Source organism: Homo sapiens, chromosome X (assembly GCF_000001405.40).
Source record: "Homo sapiens chromosome X, GRCh38.p14 Primary Assembly".
Classification (NCBI taxonomy): domain Eukaryota; kingdom Metazoa; phylum Chordata; class Mammalia; order Primates; family Hominidae; genus Homo; species Homo sapiens.
The window spans coordinates 21,739,886-21,758,541 of NC_000023.11; the positions used below are offsets into that span (position 1 = coordinate 21,739,886).

General features: G+C 39.0%; 1 protein-coding gene across 4 annotated transcripts in view; it reads right to left on the reverse strand.

The window, feature by feature from the left end:
- SMPX (small muscle protein X-linked) overlaps positions 1–18,231 on the reverse strand; it is a 52,139-nt gene extending 33,908 nt beyond the window's left edge. For all 4 annotated transcript variants that reach the window (NR_045617.2, NM_014332.3, XM_047441939.1 and 1 more), the window contains exons 1-3: positions 18,057–18,231; positions 14,361–14,417; positions 3,865–3,951 (exon numbers count right to left, since the gene is read on the reverse strand). Coding sequence is in view for 3 of the 4 variants with exons in the window: in NM_014332.3 (NP_055147.1) it covers positions 3,865–3,951; positions 14,361–14,405 (132 nt within the window). In the remaining variant the exon portion in view is untranslated. The remainder of the gene's footprint in view (positions 1–3,864; positions 3,952–14,360; positions 14,418–18,056) is intronic.

The window sequence follows — 18,656 nt, forward strand, 5'->3', positions numbered from 1 at the left end:
ACACATTAAAGCCAATGTCTGTACTTACATGTTTATATGCAAAAATTTTTGCAGTGAGCATTTGCAGATTAATAACAATATTTAATAGGCACCTTCCTCTCTACTTATTAAAACTTCAATGCATTGTGTTTTTTTATTTATCAACATAAGACTTTCACCACTTGATTTGGTAAAGTCACATATAATGGGAAATTATAATTCAATATATTTAGTAATTAGACATGATATTGACTCAGGAAGAAGGGGGTTAATGGTGCATTTTCTTAAATGAAACTTCTCTCATCTTTTAAAAACATAACAGGAATCAGATTCCATTTATATTATGAATTTGTAATTGTAAGAATTATAGTAAGTTAAGACATAAACAAACAGGGTTCCAGATGGCCCCATTTGGCTAATAAATATGTCCTTTTTTAATTTTGTAAGTGGATATTTGAATGAAGAAGGGACATGAAAGACATTCTTTGGCTTAGATAAAGAGAGTGTAAAAGAAGGCTTATCAGCCACAGCAGCATTCTCAGTTTCAGGAATGGCTGTTGTGAAGGGAAATGTTTCCCTTGGGGGTCACAGGGTATTTGTAAAACTTGGCAAAACAGTGAAACATATTCAAGTGATCTCACTTTCATCTCCCTCATTATTGCCAGATATCCTACTGAGTTTTTCCCTAAACTCTCCTGTGTGGGACAATACAATCTGGCCTGCTCATTCATGCTCAAACACCAAAGACTTAATAATAATGGCACACTGTTAACTGTTCTAAGTTACATGTACTAACTCATTTAATCCTCACCTCAACCATAGAAATCTGGTACTATTATCATCCCTGTCTTACAGTGGAGAAGACTCAGGCACAGAAGGGCTAAGAAACTTGCCCCAAGGCCACACAGCTGGGAAGTGGCTAGACCAGAATTAAATGTTTGCATCTTGTAAAGGAGCCAGGTGGAGAGGGAAATAATTAACAGAAAATCACAACCTGCTATTTTGTGGCTTAATAATGATAGTATTTCAGTCAAAAGAGAGATTTGGGAAGCTTAGTAGAGGCTTGTCAATACCCTTCAAATCAAGCAAGCAGCTGATTGTCTTACGCAAAAGACCAGCCCTGTTTATTAACATTTGGCTGTAAGGCCTCAGTGTTGGGCACATGCCCATCTGTGGCTGGGCCAAGCAGATAGAGGGTGTACTCCAGCTCTGTGAGCAGAGCAAAGGTCTTACCAGAAACCATAGGTGGGCCAAAGACAGGGTCAGTGCTCACAGGCCTTGGCAGACAGCCAAAGACTCATTCTGGCTTCCTGCTGGGGAACATCCTCTTCACATCTGAGAGGGTGTCAGGATCAAAAGTCCTTCTGAGTTTAGATGGGGAACCTCCTGAATGTGATAGAGGTTATCTGTTTTGTTCAAAGATGGTATGTTATGATCTCTATACAGTAATTATCCTCATGCAAGGCTAGGCAACGAACGAATTTTAAGTCTACAAAATTAAGCAATTCCAAGTTTGCAAACTAGATGATAATGATAGTAAATGTGGATGTATATGTTATTTCAAATCCAAATTTTATTTTCCCATTCAAACTATGCCTTAAAATGTGGCTGGGGCCTGAAGCTAATTGACAAAATCCTACTTAACCCACCCTGTGGCCAAGCCAAGCTGTCTAATTACTCCCCTCACAATGTTGTCTTCATAAGAAACTTAATCTGAGGTCCAGGCCAGAGACTGAGTCATTAGATCCCACTCCCTCCCTAAGACTGCACAAATCCTGAGAGTTTATTTCTGCTTTTATGGTAAAGAAATACCATCACTAGCTCCACCCTTCTGCCCAATGAGCTCTATGAGAAAGGTATGGTACAGTTCAAGAAATACTCCATCTGTTGGACAATAAGTTGTTACAAAAAAAAAAGGAAGAAAGACAAAAAACAGAAACATCCCTGGGGTCTTTGTGTCTTTGTGGATACATCACTACCTCCATCCTATGAAAAATACTAGTTGGCCATTTGTATACGTGGCTAATTATAAAGTAGGTGTTCACACACCAAGCTGTATCAGTTCTTGTCTATTTTAGAATGCACTGCAACCAACAGATTAGATACAAGGCAAGAGAGAGCAAAGTGCTTCCCCAGTCCCCTGAGATACTTGTGTGGAGGAAAGTACCAGTTGGACAAAGAAGAACCAGGGGCCATCTGTACCACAGGTGGAAAATGAAATGTGAGCCTCCAAAACAGCTGTTACATCAGTCAATTTAGTGAGAAAAGTGGGTCAAGCTACTTTCTGACTGATTGCCATGGTAGTGACAGACACAGTTTAAGAGGAAGCACAGGAAGCAAAGAAAAATCTAATTACAGATAAATGAAGGTATAGAAGAATTCCACCGCCGTCCCTTTTACCTCCCCATGCCTTTTCCTTACAACATGCAAAAACAATAGGCCCAGGAGTGCTTCATGAAAATTGGATAATTACATCAATTGATGAAAAATAGTTTATGGAATACCTACTAGACTACGCCATGTCCATTATATCATGCCCTCGCAGTGACCCTCTGAGGAATGGAGGTGATCCTATTTTGCAGACACAGACTCTGAAATACTTGGCCCAAGTCCCAGATGGAGACCTCATGATCATGAGTTAACTCGATGGCAAAGTTAACAGCAACAGAACTTGAGATTATGTAACCATAAAAGCAGGGTAGGGCCAGGTTTTTCCAACTTGTATGTTCAAAATTTGTATTCATCAAGAGTGACTTAGTGGCTGCAATTCCAGCACTTGATGATATCACTCAAATACTCCCCATCTCCTCCTTTCAAAAATTATCTTTCTACTGATAGGAGACTGGAACCACTAATTTAGGACGACATCAGGAATATTCACAGGAAAAAAAGGTTACAAGCAGGACAAAGTTGTATTAGGAACCTTTGAAATGGTAATAGATATTCTTTTGGGACAAATACCAAAAATGTCACTTGGTAAACTTAAAAAGCCTTTTTACCCTTTTAAAAAGATGAAATACAGTTTGCTATGCCTTGTGGCTTTATTTGATTCCATTTTCCATGTCTTGTGCTAATAAAATGTTCCAAAACCTTCACTATCTTTTTTGAGAATCAGACCTTCCAGGTTTCAGCAGAAAAGTTACAATTGGGTAAGAAATATAAACATCTGAGGAAGAAACTCTTCCCTATTTATGGCATTCATTATTAATTTTAGCCTCCAATTTAGCAGATCGGGTACTTGAATTTGGGGGAGAAGTAAAGAATTAGAAAGAGGAAAAAATACAGAAATGGAGGCTTGATAGACTCCCTTGCAAAGTCCCCTTTTCAAAGGAAACATTTAGAGATTGAGTTTTTGTTTGTTTGTTGTTTATTTGAATCCCCAAATAATTTAATGTGCTTACTTTCTGCATTCTCACTTATCAGAAGCTGTACTAAGTATTATTACAACCTGCTGAGTTGGATAAAAGATCCCAAGTGAAAACTTACCAATCTAGTGACTACTGCTAGACGAAAAACTTCTCAGAGGCTTTATCCTCCCCACCACACACACGTGCACACACACACACGCATACACACAATCAATCAATCAAACAATCAGTTAATCAGTCAATCAACAGACTGGAAGTTAAACTCAGTACCTTCAAGTAATGGTGCCAGGTACAGTACTTAAATTTGGCTGAAGGGAAGGGAGAAGGCAGTGCGTTTCAGGGCTGACTGAGCAAGACAACTAAAAAAATGTACATACTGTATGTTATTCCTTGACACACAGCCATTTGCCCCCTCCCTTGTCCTGGATAGCCAGCCCTTGCCTAGCCTCTGCCCCCTCTGGTGAGGATTTTAGAAGGGAAAAACATTGCTGTGTTCTGAGAGCTGAGTTTTCCTCACCTCCTCCACTTCAGGAGTACATTCTTTTCTTCTGGGGGGTTGACCTGCTCCTGGCCGAAAGGCTCCCATTGGAATATTGATATTTGCCTAAAAGAGAAAACAGGGTAGGTTTAGCTCAAAAAAAGTAAGAAATTGCAATGACATTCTGAGACAGTAATCGTTGTGAAGAAAAATGCGTCTGAAAAGTACATCTTCAAAGCTTTTTATCTCAGGAAAATTGCTGTAATGACAGCATAAAAATATGCAAAGGAAAATTTGACTTCCATTTATTACAGATTACATTTATTACAGATTTCATTTATTACACATCCTTAGGTCTGTGCAGTGATTTTACAATTTCCTGTTGGATGGCAGAATTTGAAGACAGTTTGTTCTGGCTGTTGCCCTCCTGAGGTGCATATTATTTTTCTCTCTCTGGGATAAGGAGGGAACACATAATGACAGGCAAGGAGGAAAGAGCATCTGCATAAGTCATCCCACACCTTAGCCCTCCTTCCGGTCCCTTCAAATTTACCACATGGGAGGGGAGACATTTACACGCCCTAAGCTACTTCCTCCTTTCCATAATGTCCTGCACTTTATTGCCATAGTCTCTGAAATTGACACTCTTCTACCTTCTTCCCAACATGTACTTGTGTGGGTCAGTAAGGAGTAAAGAGGGTGCTTGGAAAGCCAAGTTCCCTTCGTATCACCACCATTGACTCTTCTCCCTTATGATGATAAAATACTAATCTCCATCAGTGGTAAACATAAAATACCTTCATGACATCCTCTAAACATTAAATTAGGTAAGGATATATTGACACTGTAATTTGAACTTGGAGAGATAATATATAAATTTGAATTTTGCCCATACTTATTTGATGTCAAAAGGTGAATATATGTAATGCAGATCAAAAATGTCCTCAACCAGTATTATCACTCACATAAAACAACCATCAAATACTATTTTAAAGTAGAATACAATATTTTTCCATTGAAGATAAAGTGTTGCCTTATGAGTAATTGGATATGTGGGCTTGAAAAGTTGAAATTTCGTTTTGATGTTATGCATGTAAATGATGCCTGAACAAAGGGAGCAAAATATTTTTTTATCTTATGACATGGATTGTATGATTTTGGCACCACACCAAAGGAAGTTATTAGGAAGTGTGGTAAGTCCCATTTGGAACTGCCTTGTACAAGCTCTGTTGCCAGGGGAATGCTTAACCCTATGAAACAGGAAGCATCCAGTGTCCATGTTCATGCAACATGGCAGGTCTGTGTTGTACTCCCTTCAGGAGCAGGAGGTGACTTTTCCTACCCAGGGGCTTTAAAACACCCCATCCTTACTAGAATAATGCTGATACCACAGAAAGAAATAGATCCAAAGTATTTGTGGGAAGTAACCGGAGAGGTACATCATTGTGGAGCCATTCCTAGTACCAACAAGCCAAGGAGTATTTTTAATCAGTATGTACCGCATATGTTAAAATATAAATCCAGCACAACTTTAGAGAAAAGCATTTTAAAAACCTAAGGCTGAGCTTTCTATGCTATTTTTATGTGTAATGGAAATACCAGGTGGCATCGAGTGGGAGGAGGAGGGGGCATAAGAGAGGAGAAAGATTTGTCTTATATGGTGGCAAATATGGAGCCATACTTCATGAATTCCAAGATGCATCTCTTTTAATATCTCTGGTCAGAGTGTGTCTTACAACCAATAGTGTCCTACAATTTTAGTTGGCACATTTGCTTTATTTTGGCAGGATGTAAAATAATGGTATTTTACAATTGACAGTGTCTTAGATTGGATGAAATATCATAGGGGCCTGAATAAAGAAGATCAAGACAGTGTAAATAATACTCACAGAAGATAATCCATATTGGACCAATAGACTATTTCCATCACTACAGTTTGGATAAAAGAGGGGAAAAATCAATATACGGACTATTTGGGAAAAAGTTAACCAGTTAAAAGTTTAGTTAAATTGTCCCTACCCCAACCCATTTATTAAGCATCTACAGGGGGCATCTTCCTAACGGTGAGCTCAAGTTATCATATTGTTTCTGAAAGACTTGATTGCTAAATTAACTCATTTAATCAAGTATATATGCTCTATGGTAGATTGTAGTTTTTAGTAAGGGGACATGCAAAGGTCATCCAGAATAATATAATATTGTGAAGGGCATGTTACAAGATGACTACTTTTCCTGTTCGGAGATTAATTTTAGTGATGCGCCCCCATGTGGCCTCTCCATGTTTCACGGGTGGCTTAACAATAGTGAAAAGAGCCTAATGCTAGCAGTTGCTACAAGTTCTCTGTGCTTGAAAAAGTAACAATTGCTCTGGGTCTCATTGTCCCCATTTGTAATATGAATATTAGGCTGTGTCAATGGTTTTCAAACCTCTTAACCAGGGAACTCTTCCTTCCTTCAAATGAAGTACTGTAAGAATATCTACAATGCAAAGCAGGCAGAGGTGGAGGGTTTAAATACCTGCATCCTCACAACAAACTTTTGAGGTTAGTATTATCATCTTCATTTTACTGATGAAGAAATGAATCCTCAGAGAGGTTAATTCTCTCAAGGTCATACATATAGTTCCAGGAAAAGGCAAGATTCCAAATTGAAGCTGCCTGACTTCAGGGACAGACCTTCTCACTCTCTCAAACCCGTCTCTAAAGAGCTCTTTTCACGTGGCCAAAAATAGCTCTAACCAGCTCTAAAATTCTCTAAAGCAGCTCTGATATTGGAGACTTACACTTTGAGAGTGGTCTTTGAAAACGAGCAGATAAAATGGATAATTTCATAATAGATACCAAAGAAAAGCCACATTGAAAAATGAGCCATTAACTCACTGACTTGACACTTTTTCTTCTTTAAAAGCATCACTCAAGAAATCAGAAAAACTTAAATGGGTTTTTTTTTTTTTTTTTTTGACAGCAGATATTGACAGGAACCAAAGCAGCCTGAAAATATGTCGAACATTCGATCATAATGTGCACCAATAAGGGAGTATAAGAGGCGTGCTTTGTCAGTTGTGGCATGCATTATACTATTAACAAGACGATTAGAGATGTTTCATTAGCATAATTGTAGGACAGTAATCTTTGAGTGACAAGTCATAGGCTAAATTATAGCCATAAGAAAAATTCCTTATAATTTGAATTTGATAAAAATATGTAGACCTGTACCTCTTGGTTTTTATTCCATTGGCCAGAAAATTGGGTCATATTTTGTCTCTTTCGCTGACTTACTCTGTGTTTAAACACAAATGAAATACTTTCTCAGCGACTAATTTTTCTACCTACAAATTGAGTGTATTTGCTACACAAAATAGGCTTAAAATACAAGCTAAACTTTTATGAAATAATAAACAAACAGAAAATGTTTAACACCAATGACCTAGAGTTGATATTAGGATAGGCTTCCTTCTCTCTATAGATTCTATATAAATGCAAAGGAAGCAGTCTCTTTTTTTTCCTTTTGTAATGCAATCCTTTGTATTTCTTTTCCCTCCCTGAGGTTTATTCATTTTAGAGATTTAAAAATATGTCCCTGATGCAGCAGACCTGGTGCATCACTTTCCTAAGCTATATATAATTTGTTACATCCTCCAAGTTGGGAATGGAAAAAAAATCTACTAGATCATCTTTTGCCGGAATAGGATACAGTTCCCTGATAGAAGACCTATCTGATGTGAAATTAATACTACACTTGATCTCACTAGGTGAAGAAAAGTAGAAAGAATTCCCTGTAAATTAATTCCACTGCTCCCTTAATTATTTGTATTGTTCTCTTTGCTTGGCTCCGGGCTTTGAGCCCAGAGGATTCTGGAAACAATATTTCCTCCACACCCCTTTCTGTGTGGCTTACAATGGAATGACATCTTCTTTCCCCAGTGGGTTGGATTCTGAGAGCTGCCAGCCGGCTGGGTACTGACAATTCCTATTGAACTTTGCTTTCCACAGCCATTGTTCTCTTATCTCCCCCTCCCTTTTCGTCCGCACTCTGTCTCTCCTTTTCTGAACCCACTGTGAGTTTTCTGAAGTTCAGAGGCTTCTGGAGTTTCCTCCCATTGCATTATTTGTTTCAGATGACCCCCTACTGATTCAATCTTTACTTTTCAAAGGACCCCAGCAGCTCCTGCCAGAATCTATAGCCTCCCCCATGCCATTCTTCTGTAGCACGGGCAGAGGAAATTCTACAGGGTTGCATTTTGCATTATTTCTTTCTGCTCTTTCCTATTCTCATAGTCTTAGTCATTCTCTGAACGGAGCAAGATATGACATTTTGAGATTTATAGCATCTTTACAGAAGACTTCAGAAAGAGGTTTGTTTTTTCATAACGGATTAGAAAATGAGATTCTTGTTTGATATATTAACGTAAAATGAGAGACACACACATATCTACCTACTACAATATAGTCAACTTATTTTAAAATAAAATTCTATATCACTGGAATGCATAACTGCTTAGGGGTTGTTGAAATATGGAGTGGATTCAAAACACGGAAAACTTTCCCACACAACACAATTTTGAGAAACTTCTACTTTGCCACTGTTCTTCACCCATGATGTTTCATATTGAAAATGTTTTTATTTTTGCTCTGTTCTCAACACTTTTTTGTTCCCTTCAATAATTTCCTGAATGACTCAATTGTAATCTCATCATCCAGGGAAAAGCAGATTTCAAGAATGTACTGTACGGCTATTAAGATAATGTGCACAATCAGTCGGGGGCAGGTTGTATTCCTGAAGTGCTTTTGGATGTCAACATAAAAAAAATGACATCTTTTTGCAAGTATGTGTCTGCTTTGCCTCGTGTCACAAATATAGAGCTAGGCAGAGCCGCAATGATCATTAGCTGGAGGTAATACTGAACCCACTTGAGAGTAAGACTCCTACATTCCAGTTCTTAATACACTTAAAAGAAACCAGCATTGGAAATCATAAACAATGTATTATAGTGGTTTATGTAAGAAACAGTAGATCCATGATCAACGAAAAGGCCTTGCATCTACATTAAAACAAATGGCAAATGAAAGTTAATTTTTAATGTTTTAAATTTAAATAAAATGTTGAAGGAAGGCATGTGTGATCATTATGATTTTTAGCTTTAATCAATCTATCAGATTAACAATGGATGGTGATAGTCTATTCCTCTATACCAATGATTGTCATATATTTGGAATCATTTTTAAACTGGAAATCCTACACAGGAAATACTTAAGAGTCTCTAATGCCTATCTGTAAATATTTTCATCTTCCGTGGAGACTGCTTTCTTCTTCCACATTGTGCCCTAGATAATGGAGAGTGGAAGAACAATGACAACTAGTGGGGAAGGGAAAGAAGTACTGAAACATGGAGCATCAGAATATTCTCTTCTACACATAGATTGGGTAGCAATGGAAAACTTCCCATGCTAAGAAGCCACATACTCACTAATGATGCAGGATTCATATAATTTTTTTCAAATGTATGATAAGTTAGATTTAGTTTTACAAACGGCTTAAGTTGATCTAGCCATGGTTGTTTGAATTTCAAGACCATGTTTATCATTGAGTCTCTTTACTTTGTACTTTTAACTCGAAGCCAACTTACTCTTAAGGTGACTTTAATCAGTGTAGACTATCAGCTTCTTCACTGAAATGCTGACACTGTTTCTAAAGGTTGAGTTCTTTAAAAGGGAGGCACGCAGCATCCATAAAACGGTAATTGCCTCTCAAGTAGCCTTGGTGCTTATGATTATCCTTGAGATGGTCCACACCCACTCCTCCAGCCTTACTCTCTGTGCCAATGGTGGGAACAGTAAGTAAAGACAGCATTGCAGAGTGCTTCCAAACATGGGCTTGGGGATCAGACTGAATAATTGATTTTAGGGCTTGACTATCCTACTTACAAATTGTATAATCCTGGGGGAGTTACTTCACTTTTCCAAACCTAACATTAGGATCCATGGAAATCCCACTGCACTGGGCCAGGTATATGGTAAACCTTGAATAAACTGAAACTATTATTGTCATCCTGATAATAAACCTTACAAGATATTCTCAAGAAGTTCACAGACTTACAAGCTGGACAGAGACTTAGAAGTCATTTAACTGAAGCCCCTCCCTTTGAAGATCACAAGGACCAGGGGGGTGAATTTACGTCGTAGAGCTAAGACTGGGGCACAGGACTCTTTTTTGGTCAGCCATGAAGTTCTCAGATCTCATGGGAGAGGACAAATAATACTCAGCTTACTTTCATTAACGGTGGAGAGAAAGGATCAGTGACAATCCAGAGAAGATTGGCTCTGTGTGAATTGGGGCCCTAAGGAGGCCTGTGGTGGTTCCCAAAGTGGGTGTGTTCAGGAGAAAGAAGGACAGGCAGATGCTGCCAGTGGCTGGTGTCACTTGGTCTCATTAGAGAGAGTCACCAAACAGATCATTGATGGGATTAGATTCCCAGCAGTTCTAGCTTTCCCCACCACCTGTCATGTCAAATTCTTTCATTTGAGGGAGAGGATCCAATATGCAGAGAGTGCTGATGTTACCTTCATTGCAGCTCAATTCCCACCAACAGTGGGGTTGTAAGAAGCAGCCTGGAGAGACCAGAACCGGAGTTGGCAATCTATAGTCCGCGGGCCAAATCCAGTCCACCACCTGATTTTGTAAATAAAGTTTCATTGGGACATAGCCACATTCATTCATTTATGTACTGCCTATGGCTGCTTTTGTGGTACAACAGCAGAGCTGAGTAGTGGGAACAGACCAAACGACACGCAAAGCCTAAAATATTTATTATCTGGTCCTTTATAGAAAAGGTTTGCCAACCTCTGGCATAGAACTTTATCAGCTGCTTAGGGGACAAAGGCCCTCCCCGGGCTAAGAAAGAATCAACTGATTCTTTCAGGATGTTTTTATGCCCCTGGCAGAGATTTAACTAATACAACTAAAGAGAAGTGTAGGATTAGAATCCCTTTACAATTCAAAAGCCATCTCTTCTTCAGTGTGGATGTGAAAGACTACTGTCTACCTCCTTTAAGGGTGGTTCTAGTTCTGGCCTCCCTCTTACTCTGGTGCACAGAGGAGATGGAACCAGTTGAAGACAAAGCCAAGGCCATTCCATGCATTACTTGGATACTTAGAAGGCCCATCTCTTAAGGAATTTGTATACTATAGATTATTTTGTCTATTCATTATAACAACCCAATTAAATAGTATGATTGTCCCCATTTTACAGAAAGGTGGACTAAAGGTGAACTAACATTGCAGAGATTTGTAACTATTTGACTCCATGTTGTCTGGAGGTGCATTAACTCGACTCCTGAAATGCCTGACTGTTAGAGCTATGGTCAAAAGTAACTTAAATTCACCCAAGCCAGACAAACTAGAAATCTAAGTCACTGTTTCTAGAAGTTCGCACTGCAAAACACTATCTTGTAAGACAGTAACTGAATAGGTCCAATATGTTTAGAAAACATTGCATATGTTTCTGCCCTCTTGGAAATAACTTGATGCCATTAGCAAGTTGTGGACTCTGAGAAAAATTTTCAAACATTAAACTATATTAGCCTCTAATCTAATTAACAACATCCCATAAAACTAGTATTCCAAGGAACACACTTTGGAAGCTGTTGAAGTAGATGATGATGGTGGTGAATGATGATAATAGCTAATATTTATTAAGCAATTACAGTGAGCCAGGCACTGAGCTGAGTATTGTCACGCATTAAATTCATTTAACCTTCATAGTAATCCTATGAGATAAAGACTGTTACTAATTCTTCTCTTGATAGATGAGGAAACTGAGGCACAAAGAGGCTAAATAACTTTCTCAAAGTCATGCAGCTAGCAAGTACTGGAGACCTTGAGTGCCTCAAACACAGGGATCAGGGATCAATTCATCTCAGGGATCAGGGATCAATTCATCTTTGTATATACCCTACACTTAGCACAGTGCCTGGCACATATTATGCACTCAGGAAATAACAAATGAACTGAATTGGAGATAAAATCCTAATAAAAATAAGTGACTAGAGGGTATGGAGTAGAACATTTCAGAGCTTTAAATGGTATTTACACAATGAGGAGAGTCCCTTATTAATCAGGGCTTCTATTTGTTCCAGACAAGACTAACCTAGATAATGTCCCTACTATAAACCATTGTGTACGGTGTAACCACGTTCATATTTTATTTCATGTACCCTACTTAAGGTTAATGCAAAGATAATACGAAAATATCGGATAGTGCTGATCCTATTTACCCACAAGAAATAATATTTCATTTGAAGGTGCATTAAATTGGGCCTTTTGTGTGGCATAAAATAGATCGAAAGAGGCAATACCACATCCATAAGGAACCGCTGTATTGCCTTTGTCGGCAGAATGGATGGATTTTTTGTAATGCGGTATAATAACGGCTACTGAGAACAGTCAGTAGCAGCTTTTAAAATATTACAAATCTAAAAATATATCAAGGTCAAAATTAGTAAATAAAATACTAGTGAATTTTCAGTGTAGATTTGAGGGAGGCCAGGGACCATTAAGGAAGAAAAACCAACACACTTTCAGTTTTAAAAGGAAGAGGGAAAAAAGACAACCCGAGAGAAGACTGTTTTTGCATCCTGCAAAAATAAAAGAATTTTTATGTTTAGCACTTCTGGAGGTTCAAATGCAGTGATTAAATGATATTACTTCTCACAACTTTAACATAAAGTATTCCTGAATGATAATAATTCTAATAATGGTTGACACTCAATGCGTGCTTGCTATGCTGTTTTTTTGTTTGTTTGTTTGTTTTTTGGTTTTTTTTAAGACAGAGTCTCACTCACTCTGTTGTCCAGGCTGGAGTGCAGTGACGCAATCTTGGCTCACAGCAACCTCCGCCTCCCAGGTTCAAGCGATTCTCCTGCCTCAGCCTCCTGAGTAGCTGGGACTACAGGTGTGTGCCACAATGCCTGGCTAATTTTTTATATTTTTAGTAGAGACAGGGTTTCACCGTGTTAGCCAGGATGGTCTCGATCTCCCAACCTCGTGATCTGCCCATCTCAGCCTCCCAAAGTGCTGGGATTACAGGCATGAACCACCGCGCCCGGCCTACTATGCTGTTTTAAGCATTTTATACATGTAGCCCTAGGAAGTGAATACTATTATTTTATCTCCATTTTACAGATGTGGAAATGGAGGCACAGAGAGGTCAAGTAGGGAGAGTAATTTTCCCATGATCCTACACCAGTACAGGATGGATTAAGGACCCTAGTAATATAGTTTCAGAGCCCATGCTACTAACTGCTTCTACACTGGGTAAAAGAGAAGATTCAAAGGCTCAAGGATGTCCACAGGTCTGGAAGACAAAATATAATTCTGCTAACACTGTCAGGGAAATCAGAGGCTCACTAGGTAGACACCAGAAGGCTGGATGTGACAATGCAGAGTGGAATCCTTGCCAAATTCATAGGCCCTTCCTTGGTGGTTTGTTCAATGACATGTTTCCAGAGGTTGCTCTACATCCTGCCACTTAAGAACCCCTTCAGTTTAAGGATCTGTATTAGTCGTGACAGGTAAAGATCTGTCCCTCCACCTACCTCCACCAGCGGTGTGTGCTAGGATTTCTAAACCCCTTGATGATGTGTTTGCAACCTGGCCACAAGCACACCCCTCCACAACACAGTCAACCATTTATGATTGTGTTTCTGTTGTGATGGTGCATCAGGCCTAAAATATTCAGGAACTGCCACATGACCTGCAGTATTCAGAAAAGTCCAAGAAAAAAGTCCCTTTGGAGAAAGCACAGACAGCCTCCATGTTGATGGAAAGATGGAATTTTACAATAAAGCACTGTGCCCAGAGTTTCAGGGTGGAAGCCATTTGAGAGTCAAATACAGGGCCCTTAAGAGAAATAACAAATTAAATATTGAGTAAAAACAAATACTGCAAGTTATTTTCATAATTGTATTTTTGTTTCCAAATGCCTGCTTCCTCCTTCCCTTTTTGTGGGTGACACTTAAGTCAGTTTAAACAACCAAGGAATTTGTTTGCTGGGAGGGCACATGGACAACTAATAACATATGAATTTTCAAAGATGAATACCCAAGCCCTGGGAAGAACACTTAACTACAAAAGGATATTATTTAAAGAAAGATGTATTTCAAACACGTGAGTCAACAAACTGTGATTCATCTGTTTGTGCACATATCAATTGGAAATTAAAAATAAAATTGAATATATCCTCTATCAATGAACACATCCAAAACATATCAAAAAACATACACACTAAATTTTTTAGAAGATAATTTAATTCTCACTTATAAACTGATTGTCTTATAATTCAGAACAATTAAACAAAAATAGCTTGCTTCTCCTGTCTCAGTTGTACCTAACTGGTTTTATATCCTTTCTCAATTGTACCTTACAAATCTTATGAAGAACTTAATTTTCTTCTTGAAGTTCACCATCAGCTAGGAGTGAACAATCGCCAGAAATATGACTTATTAAGCAACCAGGCAAGAAGTTGCAGGGCTACTTACCTGGATGGCTCTAACATTGGAAACTGGCTGTTTCGACATATTCATGCAGTCTTATCCCTAAAAAAACAAGTAAGAAACTGTTAGAGGTGGCAGCATTCAGATCCTCAGTCTTGATAAATTAGAATTTAACTCATGATTCAACTGGGCAGTCACCCCTTTCACTGGCCATATATTCTTTCAGTCTCAGTTTCCAAAGTTACGAAGACACTCTCCTTCCTAATGCCTCGGGTGAGGGAACACTAGAGCACCAGGATAAATCATTCAGGAGGAGAAATGGTGAGACGCCTCGCCCCTGATGCTAATGATATACAATCAGAAACTTGAAAGGTGCTATCATCTCCTTTCCTGCCCTCCTGACCTTCTGCCAAGAGCAGCAAAGCAAAGAGGTTGTGGGAATAAAACACCTTTGTTCCGGGCCTCTGAAGTTCTTGGCTTGAAACTGAACTTTTGATCTGAATTCATAATTGCCAGGGTTGCTATAGTCCATTGGGAGTGCCTCCTCTTTGTTGAACACCCAAAAAGAAATGGCCTGTACCACTTCCTTAACGGCTGCGATGCTCTCTACTTGCTGTGCAGTGTCTGTTCTGCCCAGCAACCTGGGAGATGCTCTGAGGACGTAGGTCCCATCTCCTGCTCTGTGTGCCCCTACCCAATGCTTTTGATAAGTTGCCTCATACAGAGCCCAGGCTCTGTAAACACGGGCAGACAGCAAGTCTCGCCTGTATACTTTTCTTTCAAGGAGGCAAGGAAGATTTACACATGACCATAACAAATCCTCGAGATGTAGAAGTGCTTCCTTCCCAAAAGACTTTTGCTTTCTTTAAGCATGTGAGACCTGACTTAGAACACAGTGACTAGAGCACATTAGGGGATGCGGGATGCAATTTACTGGGGATAGGGGAGAAGAGAATGGTCTAGCTCTGGCCTGTTTTTGTAGCTAGGCCTATTAAATGTCAGCAGGACCAATTGAAAAATTAAAAATTCATTGAATTCAAAACATGCTGTGTTTTAAACCCAAACTGTACAACAGGTTGATTGAGGTCTATTGACTGGTGTAAGTGGTGTGTCCACTGGTGAGTAAAAGAATGCAAAAAGCAGTGTTGGCATTTGCCACACATCTTGTGTAACCTGGGCAATGTCACTCAATATTTCTAAGCCCATTTCCTCTTCTTTAAATTTTACCTGCTTCACAGGTTGTGGTAAGAATCCATATTACATACATGCTCCTGAAAAGGCCTTGTGAACTGTAAAGCATGATGCAAATATTCATTGTTTACTACCATCGTCCATAGCTAATGACCTTGGAGTGCTGTACTCATCTCCAGCTTTAAGTTCAGAGTAATAATTTATATAGGTATGTTCCCCAACACCTGTAGAGATAAAAGATCTGAAAAGAACTCTGTGAAAAATAAGTCTTTTGAAATCTCTAAAGTCTTAGGCTCTATTATGTGAAGTTAAACAATTCCATATTTTTTAAAAACCTCTATACTCAGGGTATCCAAATATATAGTTTTTGGAGCCACATACATGAAAACAATAGGACTCTTTTTAAAGAGTTTCACTTGAATGTCTTTGTAACATATAGATTTAGCCTCCATGCATAAGGGTCTAGGTAGAATTATTTTTAATACGGTTACAAAATTAAAAAGCAATAACAAATGGAACAGTCAAGGATACATTTTTCTCTGTGATATGTTTCAAATAGATTGCTGTCTTTCCTGCAGTGTCATAAAGAAATGAAGGATTTTTAATTTGTGGATCTAGGACATACAGCTTAATTCCAAAAAGAAAAGCTTCGTGGCTTAATTTTTAACGTTTTTATTCTTCAAAAGCTGTTAGAAGTCATACAAAGCAATAATTTTCACAGAACTTTAAATATCTCAGCATATGGTATTCTCTGTGTGTGTACAACTAAAGTTTAATATCACTTGGGAACTTGTTAAAAAAATTATTGTACATCAATTTGAAACAGGGATTAGAAAATTTCTTTATGTTATGACAATAGCAAGTTGAAATGTTTTTTAAAATTAGTCAATGAATGATTGTTATACTGTATTTTTTTAAAAACCAATTTTATATTTTCAATGGACTGATTTAACTTACTACTGGATTGCTGTTTTTGTGTGAACCTCTGAGCCTCAAGAATGGATGGGCCTCGTCTCCTGTATTTTTGGTAGATTCTGATTTGCATACAAATCTCTTAACATGCATGTCAATCTTTGAAAGAGAGATCTATAGAAAGCTGGTCAGATCCCAACTCTCATTCCTCACAAACAGGCTGGATAACATTTGTGTAAATCAGTTCAGCAGCGGTTCCTGCTGTCCTCATTATTTTCAGAGAAATCAGGGCAAAGCATACTGATGAATAAAAATAGACAGTGTTCCCTGTTTCCCTGCCCCTGCAGTCACCTCTATCAGGGATGTAGAGTGCGGAACACACCTTCCTTCTTCATCTGAATGCTTCATCCCGGGACCAAGAAAAGAAAACTACACCTTAGATACACACTCCACTCCCACCAGGGCCACTGCTTTTCGTCCAAAGAGGTACTCTTTACAGCACTCAATTACTACGTCTCCTGGTTCTGGCTACAGTTTTGAAACATGGAAAGTTTGACAAGGCATATATTGACTTTTACAAAGCCTATAGTATAATGAAAATGCTTGCCAGCTAAGCACCGCTGAGTTTTCCTGGCAGTTCTGTAAGTCAGTGGGGACCATTAATGGTCTGTATGCTGAGTCACCTATGATATATCCCTGCTTGTCTTTGATTGGGCAGCACCTAATATCTGACTTCTAAATAGAACTCTTTGACTTACTAAAAATTTGTCAATAGTAATATCACTCATTTAATAAGAAGGGATTCAGAGGAAAATCAATCACTATTCAGAGATAAGAGCTTTGTTTGTTCTTTTTAAAGGTCGAATAAGTGGGTAAAGCTCCATCGCAAAGGGAATTATCTTCTGTCCTGCAGCTAAAAATAATTCCTGAGAAGGGTGTAGAAAGATGTTCAGCTGTCTGAACTGACTAACTCCTTATTCACTCTGCTTTAAATATGCTGAGAGGAAAGAGGTACTCTTAGCGTTCTCATACTTCAGAACCTGGTGCCCACATAGAAAGGGACAGTGAGTGCTGCCCTCTACCCTGCTGAGTATGGGAATACTGTGACCAAAGTGAAGATTTAAAAAGATGGTTCTATCATTGATAGAACGTTATCATTGAGACCAAGCCTGGTGCTTAGGGAGAGGAGAAAATCATTTTAAACTTGTACTGTATAAAAACTCTGGCAATAATTTGCATTTTGGTAAATAAAGGAACTAGCATTATAGCTTCTCTCTGGCCCAAATTCTGATGATTTCTTGGCTTAGGGCTTCAATCAATCTGCAGCTGACCGACTGTAATCCTGGCCAGCACAGCTTCAAGGTCACAGTTATCATTTCTAGACTGTGGACATTTTATTGTTGCCACTATCGATGAAAACTGCCTTTCAGTATTTGCCTAGTTCAATATTCTTTCAGCACCCTCACCCCTCACAATTTATAAACAGAATCAGCAATACCACCAATGAAAAATGAATTTACAAGGAAGCTACACCCACTGGTTACAAGCCTACAAAGTTAAAAGTAGTCACTTCGAGTTAGGTATCAAGGAAATTTCCTTTAGAAAACCCAGTCGCCGGAGCTGCGTCCTTCTGCTTACCTGCTTTATGTATTTGTTTACTGCCTAAGGGAAGTCCCAGGCAGCCAGATGCAAGAATACAAAGCTCCTTGGAAGGTGGAAGGGGCGCCCGGTGTCCTCTGAGCTGCGATCTCAATTCCGATGCTTTTCATGTGGCTGAAATAGCTCTGTGCCTCTCCCGGTATTGAGAACTGCTCCTGGCTCGGGGCTGGAGGGGAACTTAAACCGTTAAGGCTAAGTGTTAAAGAGAATTCCTGTCATAGCTCACAGTTGTTCTTCCTAAATATAGAGTTTGATACAAGCCATACGCTGGCTGCCTCCGAAAGGCTTGACCGTGCGGAAAGCAGGCTCAAATGTCAGCCGGGAGGTGGCTATGGTATCTTACTTGCCCTCCTAATCTTCCAGAAGATGCTGGCTGCATTTTCTCATATATTCTGAGTGGGTATAGCAAAGTTCGAAAAGTAAGGAAAGTCTATCTTTAGCTTTATTACCTGGATGCCAGAAGATGAGTATTCAATAAAAATTGGGGGGTGTCAGCATGGTACCATGCCTCTCAGCAGGGGTACTGACATTAAACAGGGTTTGAATCCTAGCTTGGTCACTTGGGAGCTGTTAAAGTTA